The sequence below is a fragment of the Homo sapiens genome, chromosome 8 (genome assembly GCF_000001405.40).
Source record: "Homo sapiens chromosome 8, GRCh38.p14 Primary Assembly".
NCBI classification, from domain to species: domain Eukaryota; kingdom Metazoa; phylum Chordata; class Mammalia; order Primates; family Hominidae; genus Homo; species Homo sapiens.
This window is the reverse complement of record NC_000008.11, coordinates 28,606,860-28,619,863: the sequence shown is the minus strand read 5'-3', so window position 1 is coordinate 28,619,863 and position 13,004 is coordinate 28,606,860. Positions and strand designations below refer to the sequence as shown.

Sequence of the window (13,004 nt, the reverse complement as noted above, 5' to 3'; positions counted from 1 at the left end):
AAAAAAAAAAAAAAAAAAGAACCAGAAGCCCTGTCGGCGGTGTACGGATACGGATGACAGCTGGCTCTCCAGAAATAAAAGCGCTAATGTGTGGTGTCTGCAGATGCCTGTGCTGTAATACTGCCACCCTCGCTGATTTCAAGCTCCTGACATGAGGTCACTGAACAAGGAGCTGGGGCCCAGGTGACTGAGTTAACAGGGTCTCAAAGTGGGGAGGCTGCCGGCAGGGAGCTGTATCTGGGAGCACCACGGGGAAAAGTAGACAGAAGAAACAGCCCTTAGGGGTTAGGAGCAGAACCTCCAACTGGCAGCAGTGGGAGAGGGGAGCTGGGAGCCATGGGCAGTGGGTCAGTCCAGGGAGGAGCAGCAGGGGTGGGGAATGGCAGGTAGCCCCGACACACCCGGAGGAAGCGTGTTCTTTCGGAGCGCAAAAGAGAGGCAATCCGAATTTTCAGGCGGGAGGAAAACACCCTTCTTTCGCTTCTCCCCCAGGAGACCTTGCCAGGAAGGTAGATATTTAGGTTAGAGCGTCCAGGGCTCACACAGGGTTTTTTTTTTTTTTTTTTTTTTTTTTTTTTTTTTTTTTTTTTTTTTTTTATCACTAAGCTAATTTCTACGTGGGCTTCCTCCCCAGTTTAGAGACTTGGTATCCAGGTGGGCCTTGAGAAGGACATATGGTCTCCTGTTAGAGCAGGGAAAACTCGTGCTAAATCAGGTAACAGAACTGAGACACAGGTGGGTCTGCTGTTTTTTTTTTTTTTTTTTTTTTTTTGAGACGGAGTCTCACGCTGTGTCCCAGGCTAGAGTGCAGTGGTGCAATCTTGGCTCACTGCAACCTCCGCCTCCCAGGTTCAAGCGATTCTCCTGCCTCAGCCTCCCTAGTAGCTGGGACTACAGGCACGTGCTGCCACGCCCGGCTAATTTTTTTTTTTTCTGTATTTTTAGTAGAGATGGGGTTTCATCGTGTTAGCCAGGATGGTCTTGATCTCCTGACCTCGTGATCCACCAGCCTCAGCCTCCCAAAGTGCTGGGATTAGAGGCGTGAGCCACCACGCCTGGCTTGTCTCCTGTTTCTTACACTGGCTTTTAGGGGCACTAGGGGCCGCTGGGGAGTGGGAGCTGGGCTAGAGCCTATTTTCTCGTGCCTGGCCTGACCCTGCGGGGTTCTCTCACTGCTTTCACCACTGTTCTCAGGCCATAAATCCCCCACACTTTTTGGAGTGATTTTGCCCACAGTCAAACCTGATCAGCCATATGCTCCTTCCTGCTTAGAAACCTTGCTGCGCCAGGTTCAACCTCTTTCGTGCCGGACGTGAGGCTTCTCCTGATCTGACCTCCACTCAGCTCCCCAGCTTCATTCACTGCCAGCCCTGGGTGACTTCATTGAACCCAGGTTCCCATTTCCCAACGAGCTTAGTTTGCTTCTAATTCTAGGCCTTTGCATTTTCCCCCTCTGAATTTTGTCTCTTTTCCATAGTTCCCTCAGTCTATTCCCATGCCAGGAATCTTGAGTCACATCTATTGTTTTACTATTATTATTATTATATACCTTTTTTTTAAGTAGAGATGGGGTTTCACCATATTGGTCAGGCTGGTCTTGAACTCCTGACTTCAGAGGACCCACCCGCCTCTGCCTCCCAAAGTACCTGGGATTACAGGTGTGAGCCACCATGCCCGGCTTCACTGTCTTTTTTATTATGGTAAAATATTTAAGATAAGATAAAGTTTGTCATTTTAATCATTTTTAAGTATAGAGCTCAATAGCATTAACTATATTCATAATGTTAGGCAACCATCAACACTATTTCCAAAGCTTGTCATCACCCATAAGATAAACTCCGTATCTATTAAAGCAATAATTTCCACTCCCCTCTCCCCTTAGACCCCAGTGAGCTCAAATCTGCTTTCTGTCTCTATGAATTTCCATGTTCTAGATATTTCATATAAATGGAATCGTGCAATATTTGCCCATTTGTGTCTGGCTTCTTTCAGTATAGTATTTTCAAAGTTCATCCGTGTTGTAGCATGTATCAGAATTTCATTTCTTGTTTTTTTTATTGTTGTTGATTTTGGTTTTGGTTTTGAGGACAGTGTCTTGCTCTGTCACCCAGTCTGGAGCGCAGTGGCACTATCTCACTGCAGTCTCCATTTTCCTGGGCTTAAGTGATTCTCCCACCTGAGCCTCCCAAGTAGCTGGGACTACAGGCATGTGCCATCACACCTGGCTGATTTTTGTGTTTTTTGTAGAGACAGGGTTTTGCCATGTTGCCCAGGCTGGTGTTGAAGCCCTGGGCTCCACCAGCAATCCACCCACCTTGGCCTCTCAAAGTACTGGGATTACAGGTGTGAGCCACCATGCCTGGCCTGATCTTCATTTCTTTTTATGGCTGAATAGTACATATATATGGTACTATTGTACAGTGTATATTGTACATATACATTCCTTTTTGTTTATTCATTTGATGAACACTTGGATTGTTCCCACATTTTGGCTATCGTGAATAATGTTGCTATGAACATTAGCTTACACTTCACATATGTTTTCTCCTCCACATAAGATCTTATTTCCACTGTAGACCCTAGTCACGGGCCATCCCCATGAAAAATGAGGAAGGAAGCTGCCCCATCTTCTTTCTGTGTCCTTGCCTTCTCGGAACGGGGTGTTGGTAGCAACAGGTATGACTCATTCATGGTGAAATTTTTGGCATGAGTAGGACAGGGCAATCTTGCAGACACTCCTCAAATCATCCCACAGACACACCACATACTTGGCTTGGCTAAAAAGCAAGTCCTGCCAGGACAAATCCTCTCAAGACTAAGACACTCTTAACAGGAAGTGGGATTCCTGGAGTTGGGTATTAGTAGGCATACTGTGTTTCCTTGATGCAGCCTTTGTGAAAAGGGTTTGAGATTGCAAAAGACGTGACCGTAAGAAGGAAGCAAAGAGGAACATTGAGAATAAGCCTGGAAGTCCGTTTTGTCTTCCCTTCAGTGTCCACAGCTGGTTCCGAGGCAATGCGTTCCAAGGCAGATGAAGAGGAGTCTCCAGGTGCTGTGTCACCAGCTGTTTCCTGGGAACCCTGATGCACTCCTGGTTCACTCTCCACACCCAAATCTATACTCAGCGCACACCTGTTAACTGAATTCACTTAGAGAGGAAAACTCTTAAGCATTCAGGCGGTATCAGCCCTGGGCAAGAATCTTGAAGAGCACACATTTTGGCTTTTTTTTTTTTTTGAGACGGAGTCTCGCTCTGTCGCCCAGGCTGGAGTGCAGTGGCATGATCTCGGCTCACTGCAAGCTCCACCTCCCAGGTTCACGCCATTCTCCTGCCTCAGCCTCCCAAGTAGCTGGGACTGCAGGCGCCCGCCACCACGCCCTGCTAATTTTTTATACTTTTTTAGTAGAGGCGGGGTTTCACCCTGTTAGCCAGGATGGTCTCGATCTCCTGACCTCATGATCCACCCGCCTCAGCCTCCCAAAGTGCTGGGATTACAGGCGTGAGCCACTGTGCCTGGAACGTTTTGGCTTTTATGTCTGACTGCCTCTCTTTTTGTTTGTGGGGCTTCCATCTCCCTCCTTCAGTTACTGACTCTTAATTCCTCACCCCCTCCCCCATTTCCCTCCACCGAAAAGTATTCTTTACCTGTTTATTGAAAGTCTCTTATATACTAATTCAAACTAAAGTATAAATGACTGAAAGTAGCTTACTGTACTGCCCTTTGCAAGAATACTTCATTACATTTTTCACAATAATAATTTCACCAGTGATATCTTTTTTCTTTTTTTAAAAGATAGTCAGCATCTCCCTATATTGCCCAAGTTGGTCTCAAACTCCTGGCCTCAAGTGACCCGCCTGCCACAGCCTCCCAAACTGCCGAGATTACAGGTGTGAGCCACTGTGCCTGGCCTACTGATAGATTTAATGTAATAAAATCCAAGAGCTGGAGAAAGACATACTATGCTAACACCAATCAAAAGAAAGCTGCAGGCCGGACATGGTGGCTAAAGCCTGTAATCCCAGCACTTTGGGAGGCCCAGGCAAGCAGATCACTTGAGGTTAGGAGTTTGAGACCAGCCTGGCCAACATGGTAAAACCTCGTCTCTATTAAAAAAAAAAATACAAAAGTTAGCTTGGCATGGTGGTGCATGCCTGTAATCCCAACTACTTGGGAGGCTGAGGCAGAAGAATTTCTTGAACCCAGGAGGTGGAGGTTGCAGGGAGCTGAGATCAAGCCACTGCACTCCAGCCTGGGTGACAGAGCAAGGCTCCATCTCAAAAAAAGAAAAAAGAAAACTGGAGTAGCTATATTAATTTCAAAGTAGACTTTTGAGAAAGGAAAATTATCAGAGATACAGCAGAACATTACATAACGACAAACGGGTCAATTCTCCAGGAAGACATCAAAATACTCAATATGTATGTGCCTAACAACAGCATCAAAATAGATGAGGCAAAAACTGATAGACCTGCAGAGAAGAAATAGATGAATTCACTATTATTATTGGAGACTTCAACACTCCTCTGTCAGAAGTAGACAGATTCAGCAGGCAGAAAATCAGTAAAGATACAGCTGAATTCAACAGCACCATCAATCAGCTGAATATAATTGACATCTACAGAATACTTTATCCAGCAACAGCAAATTACAAATTCTTCTCAAGCACACATGGAGCACTGACAAAGGTAGACCACATTCTGAATAAAATACATCTTAAGAAACGTAAAAGAAAGGAACTCATTCAAAATATGCTCTCAGACCACAATGGAATTTAACTAGAAATCAATAGCAGAAAAATAGCTGGAAAATTCTCAAATATTTGGAGATTAAACAACATAATTTGGAGGGCGGGGGTGGGAGGAGGGAGAGGATCAGGAAGAACAGCTAATGGATGCTGGGCTTTATACCTGGTGGGAGGAGGGAGAGGATCAGGAAGAACAGCTAATGGATGCTGGGATTATCTTTGCAGCAAACCACCATGGCACACATTTACCTATGTAACAAACATGCATATCCTGCACATGTACCCCACACTTAAAAGTTGGAAATGAAAAACATAATTCTAAATAATACATGGAAGAAGTCTCAAGAAAAATTGTTAAACATTTTGAACTAAATGAAAATGAAAATATCATTTATCAAAATTTGTAGGTGCAGTGAAAGCAATGCAGAGAGAAAAATTTATAGCATTGAATGGAGATATGAGAAGAGAAGAAATATCCAAAACCAGCAACCTAAGCTTCCACCTCAGGAAAATTTAAAAACAGCAAAATAAATACAAAGTAAACAGAAGAACTGGGGTCCTCACACCTGTAATCCCAGCACTTTGGGAGGCCGAGGCGGGTGGATCGCTTGAGCCCAAGAGTTCGAGATCAGCCTGAGCAACATGGTAAAATCCCATCTATTCAAAATATACAAAAATTAGCTGGGCATGGTGGCACGTGCCTGTATATCCAGCTACTCAGGAGGCTGAAGAAAGAGAATTGTTTGAACCTGGGAGGCAGTGGTTGCAGTGAGTTGAGATTGTGCCACTGCACTCCAGTCTGGGTGGCAGAGTGAGACCCTATCCAAAAAAAAAAAAAAAAAAAAGCAAAAAACCCCACAAAGTAAACAGAAGAAAACAAATAAAAATTAGGCTAAAAATCAAAGAAACTGAAAACAGAAAATCAATAGAAAAAATCAACAAAACTAAGAGCTGGTTTGTTGAAAGTATCAATAAAATTGATAAACCTGACTGGGTTCGATGACTCATGCCTATAATCCTAGGGATCAGGAGACCGAGGCAGGAAGATTGCTTGAGGCCAGGAGTTTGAGACCAGCCTGGGCTCATGACGTTTCATGAGACCCCATCTCTACAAAAACATAAAAAAAGTAGCTGGGTGTGGTAGCATGCATGGGCCTGTAGTCCTAGCTACTCCAAAGGCTGAGGTCAGAGGATCGTTTGAGCCCAGGAGGTCAAGGCCGCAGTGAGCTATGACTGCACCAAGTGAGACCCTGTCTCTAAAAAAAAAAAATACACCTGTGACTAGGCTAATAGGCTAAAAAAGAGAGGCCATCACTACTGATCCTATGGCATTAAAAGGATCATTAAAGAATATTATGAACAACTATGCCCAGAAATTTGATAACTTAGATAAAATGGACCAATTCCTTGAACTCACATAAGGAGAAGTAGATAATTTGAATAGATCTATACCTATTAAAGAAACCAAATCAATAATTATTAACCTTCCAAAACAGAAAGCACCAGGCCCAGATGGTTTCACTAGTGAATTCTAAGAAATGGTTAAGGAAGAAATGATATCAATTCTATACAATCTCTTCCAGAAAATAGAAGCAGCGGGAGTACTTCCCATTTCATTCTATAAAAGATAGCATAGGGCCAGGCGCAGTGGCTCACGCCTGTAATCCCAGCACTTTGGGAGGCTGAGGCACGTGGGTCACGAGATCAGGAGTTTGAGACCAGCCTGGCCAACATGGTGAAACCCTGTCTCTACTAAAAATACAAAAATTAGCTGGGCGTGGTAGCAGTTGCCTGTAATCCCAGCAACTCAGGAGGCCGAGGCAGGAGAATCATTTGAACCCAGGAGGCAGAGGTTGCAGTGAACCAAGATCATGCCATTGCACTCCAGCTTGGGCAACAGGGTGAGACTCCGTCTCAAAAAAAAGAAAAAACAAAACAAAACAAAATACCAAAAAAACAGCATAATCCTAATACTGAAACTAGATAAAGGCGTTACAAGAAAAGAAAACTATAGACCAATATCTTTCATGAACAAAGATGCAAAAATCCTCAACAAATTATTAGCAAATTGAATACAACAATGTTTAAAAAGAATTATAGACTGGGTGTGGTGACTCCCACCTATAATCCTAGCATTTTGGGAGGCCAAGGCAGGAGGAACACATAAGCTCAGGAGTTTGAGACCAGCCTGGGTAACATAGTAAGACCTCATCTCTACAAAAAACTTAAAAATTAGCCAGGCATGGTGGTGTGTGACTGTAATCCTAGCTACTTGAGTGGCTGAGGTGGGAGGATTGCTTGAGCCTGGGAGGTTGCGGATGCAGTGAGCCATGATTGTGCCACTGCACTCCAGCCTCGGCAACAAAGCAAGACACTGTCTAAAAAAAAAAAGTCAATTTGTGTAATCCATCACATCGATAGGCTAAAGAAGGAAACTCATATGATCACAGCAATAGATGCAGAAAAAGCATTTAATAAAATTCAGCACCTGTTCATGATAAGAATTCACCCTGGGGCTTTTTATAAAAATTAAGAAGATAGTAATAACTTTTACCTGGATAAATTATTGGTCAAGCATACTGGGAGAGTTGACTCACTTTGCTAGAATTTTGTTTTTTATTTTTCTTTTTTTCTTTTTTCTTTTTTTTTTTTTTAAGAGATGGAGTCTCGCTCCGTCACCCAGGCTCCCAGGCTGGAGTGCAATGGCATGATCTCGGCTCACTGCAACCTCTGCCTCCCAGGTTCAAGCGATTCTGCTGCCTCAGCCTCCCAAGTTGCTGGGACTACAGGCATGTGCCACTAAGCCTGGCTAATTTTTGTATTTTTAATAGAGACAGGGTTTCGCCATGTTGGCCAGGCTGGTCTTAAACTCCTGACCTCAGGTGATCTGCCTGCCTCAGCCTTCCAAAGTGCTGGGATTACAGGCGTGAGCCACCATGCCTGGCCCACCTTGCTAGAGTTTTAAGACATGTTAGAAATGTACAACCACCAAAAAGTTACGATAGGAGATTTAAACATCCGAAGAACATTTGCACTGAAGATAGATTTTGAACAAACATCACGCCACTAAGCTGGAGCGGTTCTTCCTGTCTGCCATCAGAATACCGTTCTGGATCCAGGCGGGCACACGTCAGTGAAGAAAGAGCCCTTTTCTCTTTGCTGTTGGCAAAGCCTAGAGGAAATGACGATCCTCTTGCAGGGAGCCCCAATGACAAGGTCTAGCTGGGGTGGGTGACAGCGGCTGGCATCGCAGCGAACAGACTCGGTTCTGTATTTAACCCTGTGACCCCTTTGACATTCCCCAGCAGGCTTGGTCTTCAAAGCACAATGATTTAGAAAATAAGAACTATTTCCCAGAGCTAAGGAAAGGAAGGCACTGTGGGCAAGGGAGCAAAGTGGCTCTGACAGAATCCTTTATGCTTCCAAGAGGCCTTTCACCTCGGGGCTCACAACAACAAATCCCTGCATTTCAGATGCCCCAGCTGCTGGGTCATCACCCCTCTCGCTGTGAAAGCATGGAGATCATGCTCTAGCTAAAGCATTTCAGCTACAGTAAGATTCAAAGTCACTTAGAAAACTGAAACATAAACACACTCAAATGCATTCAGAATCCAGAATATTACAGCTAGATGAGACCATAACAGTCAATGTGGTTTTTTTTTTAGAAGCAGAGTCTCACTCTGTCACCCAGGCTGGAGTGCAGTGGCACGACCACAGCTCACTGCAGCCTCTACCTCCTGGGCTCAAAGTGATCCTCCCACCTCAGCCTACCAAGGAGCTGGGACTACAGGCGTGCACAACCCCACCTAATTTTATTAAATTTATTTTTTGTAAAGATGAGGTCTCACTATATTGCCCACACTGATCCTCAACTCCTGGGCTTAACTGATTTTCCTGCTTCAGCCTCCTAGAGTGCCGGGATTATACAGGCCTGAGCCACTGCACCCATCCTAATAATCAGTTTTTTAATGTCCCACTTAATAAATGAAGAAACCCCAGCCCAGAGGAACTAAACATCTGGCCCAAGCACATGCAGCAAGGAGAGGTAATACAGTAGAACAGCATCAAACAGATGTAGGGGGTGCAGTGGCTGACGCCTGTAATCCCAGCACTTTGGGAGGCCGAGGTGGATGGATCACTTGAGATCAGGAGTTCAAGACCAGCCTGGCCAACATGGTGAAACCCCATCTTTACTAAAGATACAAAAATTAGCCAGGCGTGGTGGCAGGCGCCTGTAATCCCAGCTACTTGGGAGGCTGAGGTTCCTGGGAGAATCACTTGAACCCAGGAAGTGGAGGTTGCAGTGAACTGAGATTGCACCACTGCACTTCATCCTAAAAGACAGAGACTCCATCTAAAAAAAAAAAAAAAAAGAAACAGATCTGGGCTTGATTTACAAACTTGAAGAAGTCATTTTACCAACCTGAGCCCATTTCTTCATCTGTCAAGTGGGGAAAGTAAGAATCATCGCATAGGTATGGTGTGAAAATTAAGACAGAGATTCCATGAAGCACTATGTAGGGCTGACACATGAAAGCGCCCGATAACTGTTATTTTTCTTTGTTTTGGTTCCTGGAATCAGAGCCGGTCCTCAGTGCCTGGGCTCTGGGATCCCAGTTCATCCCTTTTTCCTCTGGTCCAAATGACAACCACAGGTAGTGTATTTGCCAGGACTAGGTCAGGTGGGGAATGAAACAGATCCCTGGGTGTGTTACAGTGGCTGTCCAGCATGCAAGACACTGAACTGGACCTGACTAACAATCTGTTAACAAAGAGATGAGGAAATTGCCCCAGGATTCCCCATATCTATATTTTCAGCCCTGATCTCTTTTCCTAGGACTCTCGACTAACTCTGGAATTGTTTCACATGCATACACAAACACACACACACACACACACACATATACATATTTTTGAGATGGAGTCTCGCTCTGTCGCTCAGTCTGGAGTAAAGTGGTGGGATCTTGGCTCACTGCAACCTCCACCTCCCAGGTTCAAGTGATTCTCCTGCCTCAGCCTCCCGAGTAGCTGGGACTACAGGCACCACCACCACGCCTGGCTAATCTTTGTATTTTTAGTAGAGATGGGGTTTCACCATGTTGGCCAGGCTGGTCTCGAACTCCTGACCGCAGGTGATCCACCTGCTTTGGCCTCCCAAAGTGGTAGGATTGATTACAGGCATGAACCACTGCATCTGGCTTTTTTTTTTTTTTTTTAATTATTTTTTTGAGCCAGTGTCTCACTCTATCATCCAGGCTGGAGTGCAGTAGCTCCATCATGGCTCACTGCAGCCTCAATCTCCTGGGCTCAAGCGAACCTCCCACCTCAACCTTCCAAGTAGCTGGGACTATGGGCTCACACCATCACGCGCAGTTATTTTTTAAAAATTTTTGTAGAGATGGGGTTTCGCCATGTTGACCAGGCTAGCCTTGAACTCCTGGGCTCCACCAGAGATCCACCCACCTTGGGCTCCCAAAGTGCTGGGATTCCACGTATGAGCTACCGTGCCTGGCCTTGCATACATCTCAAAAGAACTTATGCAAAAGAGAACTCTTGATTCCACCTTTCCCTTGCCCACCCAGAGCTCCTCCTTCAGGCATCCTCATCTTTAAAAAGGCAACATAATCCACTCAGTTACTTAAATCAAAACTGTAGGAATTTCCCTAGATTTCTTTTTTTTTTAATCTTCTTTATCGCTTGTGGAATCCATGTCCGAAATGCACCCAAGTCCACTCTCCACTTTTACTGTACCACCCTCCCCTCCAGCGAAACCCTCATGCCAGTGACCTTAAAAATATGCACCATATCAAGTTTTCCCTCTGCTTACAGCTTTCCAACGATTTCCCACAGCACTTAGAAAAAAATCCAGACTCGTTTCTCTGAGTCACAAATGCTCTGTGACGGCCCCAGGCTATTTCTCTAACTCAACTGTACCCACTCTCTGTTCACTCACTGTGCTCTGGACAAATCGGCCTTATTTCTGCCTCAAATGTGTCAAGCTCAGTCCTGCCTGAGGGCCTTTGCATGACCTGTGACTCTGCCTGGGATGCTCTGCTAGCAGACTTCTGTGTGTAGGCTCCTTCAGAACTCAGCCTAATGGCACAATCTCAGATCACCCAACACAAGAAGCCACCCATTCACTGTTAGGCCATTTTATTTTAATTCTCCGCAGCTCTTATTGCTGTTTGATAATTTTCTTGGTTATTTCTTTGGGTTTTGTGTGCATGTGTGTTTTTGTTTTTGTTTTTGTTTTTGTTTTGAGACACAGTCTTGCTCTATCTCCCAGCCTGGAGAACAGTGGCATAATCTTGGCTGAACCTCTGCCTCCTGAGCTCAAGCGATCCTCCTACCTCAGGCTCCCAAGTAGCTGGGACCACAGATGTGAGCCACCAGGACCGGCTAAGTTTTTGTATTTTTGGTAGAGACCAGGTTCCACCATGTTGTCCAGGCTGGTCTTGAACTCCTGAGCTCAAGTGATCCCCCCGCTTCGGCCTCCCAAAATGCTAAGATTACAGGTGTGAGCCACTGTGCCTGGCCAGGTTATTTCTTTGGTTATTTTTGATCTCACTCTACAGGAAGGGAAGTTCTATGAGACAGCAGAGATCTTATCAATGTATCTTGTTAACTGTATCTTAGCACCCAGAAACTCTTTGGCTGTCAACAAATATATGTTGATTGGGTAAATCAAAGACTGAATTCCAACCCACAAAAACTAGTAGTAAAGTGGAGAGCCTTATCTTGGGGGAGTGTTCATTTTCACTGGACTCCCAAGATGGTCTCACATTAGGCACGTTTGTGCCTAAATGCACAAGCTCACTAGGCAGGAGTCACAGGAGCGTGGGTGAGTTCAGCAGGATACCCTGAACCCTTTCCCAAGGGGTCCCAACTGGCTGGACATCCAAAGGCTTCTCCCCTAAGAGATCGCTGCAAAGGGAAGTTCTCTGTGTGTTTCAGTAATGGGACCAGCTTAATGGCCTATTTCTTTCTTTCTTTCTTTTTTTTTTTTTTGAGATGGTGTCTCGCTCTGTCGCCCAGGCTGGAGTGCAGTGGCACGATCTCGGCTCACTGCAAGCTCTGCCTCCCGGGTTCACACCATTCTCCTGCCTCAGCCTCCCGAGTAGCTGGGACTACAGGCGCCCACCACCACGCCTGGCTAATTTTTTGTATTTAGTAGAGACGGGGTTTCATGGTGTTAGCCAGGATGGTCTCGATCTCCTGACCTCGTGATCCGCCCGCCTTGGCCTCCCAAAGTGCTGGGATTACAGGCGTGAGCCACCGCGCCCCACCTTGATGACCTATTTCAAGACTGTTAACTTGTGTTCCCAATGCTCTGTGCTATGGCAGTGGATGGTCTCTTACCACAGATACGTGCATGGAAGTTACTGCCTCGAGCCTGTGCTTAGCAGTCGTTTCGGAGGATCAGTTACCTAAAGTAAACATGAAATTCCATTATTTCCTTATTTTCATGGCATGCCACGTGCTTTCACACTATCTGCTTTTACCTGAGCTCCTTCCCGCCCCACCCCCACTCAGCACCTATGGAAACCCCATTTCTTCCTCTTTAGGGCATAGCTCAGGTGCTGCACCTTCTGAGAACCTGTCTGATATTTTCAGGTTGAGATTGGTCACTGCTTCCCCAGATTCCTGTACTCTTTTTTTTTTTTTTTTTTTGAGACAGCCTCTCGCTCTGTCATCCAGGCTGGAGTGCAGTGGTGCGATCTCAGCTCACTGCAACCTCTGCCTCCTAGGTTCAAGCAATTCTCCTGCTTCAGCCTACCAAGTAGCTGGGACTACAGGCATGTGCCATCATGCCCAGCTAATATTTGTACTTTTAGTAGAGACAGGGTTTCACCATGTTGGCCAGGCTGGTCTGGAACTCCTGAACTCAGGTGATCTGCCTGCCTTGGCCTCCCAAAGTGCTGGGATAACAGGCGTGAGCCACCGTGCCTAGCCCCAGTACTCTTTTGAATGTACACACATTATAGTACTTATTTCATCTTACCTTATATAATTACTTTTATACACCCACACCTACAAAATTATAAGTTCTTGAGGGAAGAATCATGCCATTCTTTTTCTTTTAATCTCCTCTTAGCAACTATCACAGTTATTTATACTGAGTAGGTACTCAGTAAATGTTAGTAAAATGTATAAAGGAATCCAAAAGGTAGAAGCAACACAAATATCCAACTACATGTGAATGGATAAGCAAAATGTGGCATATGTACTCAATGGAATATTACTCAGCCTTCAAAAGG

At 45.2% G+C, this 13,004-nt stretch overlaps 1 protein-coding gene across 1 annotated transcript in view; it reads right to left on the bottom strand.

Moving 5' to 3' along the window:
• EXTL3 (exostosin like glycosyltransferase 3) overlaps nucleotides 1–12,128 on the bottom strand; it is a 148,827-nt gene extending 136,699 nt beyond the window's left edge. Inside the window, exon 1 of the mRNA XM_024447096.2 lies at nucleotides 12,106–12,128. The gene's annotated coding sequence lies outside the window, so the exon portion shown is untranslated. The remainder of the gene's footprint in view (nucleotides 1–12,105) is intronic.
• Nucleotides 12,129–13,004: the final 876 nt, after the last annotated feature.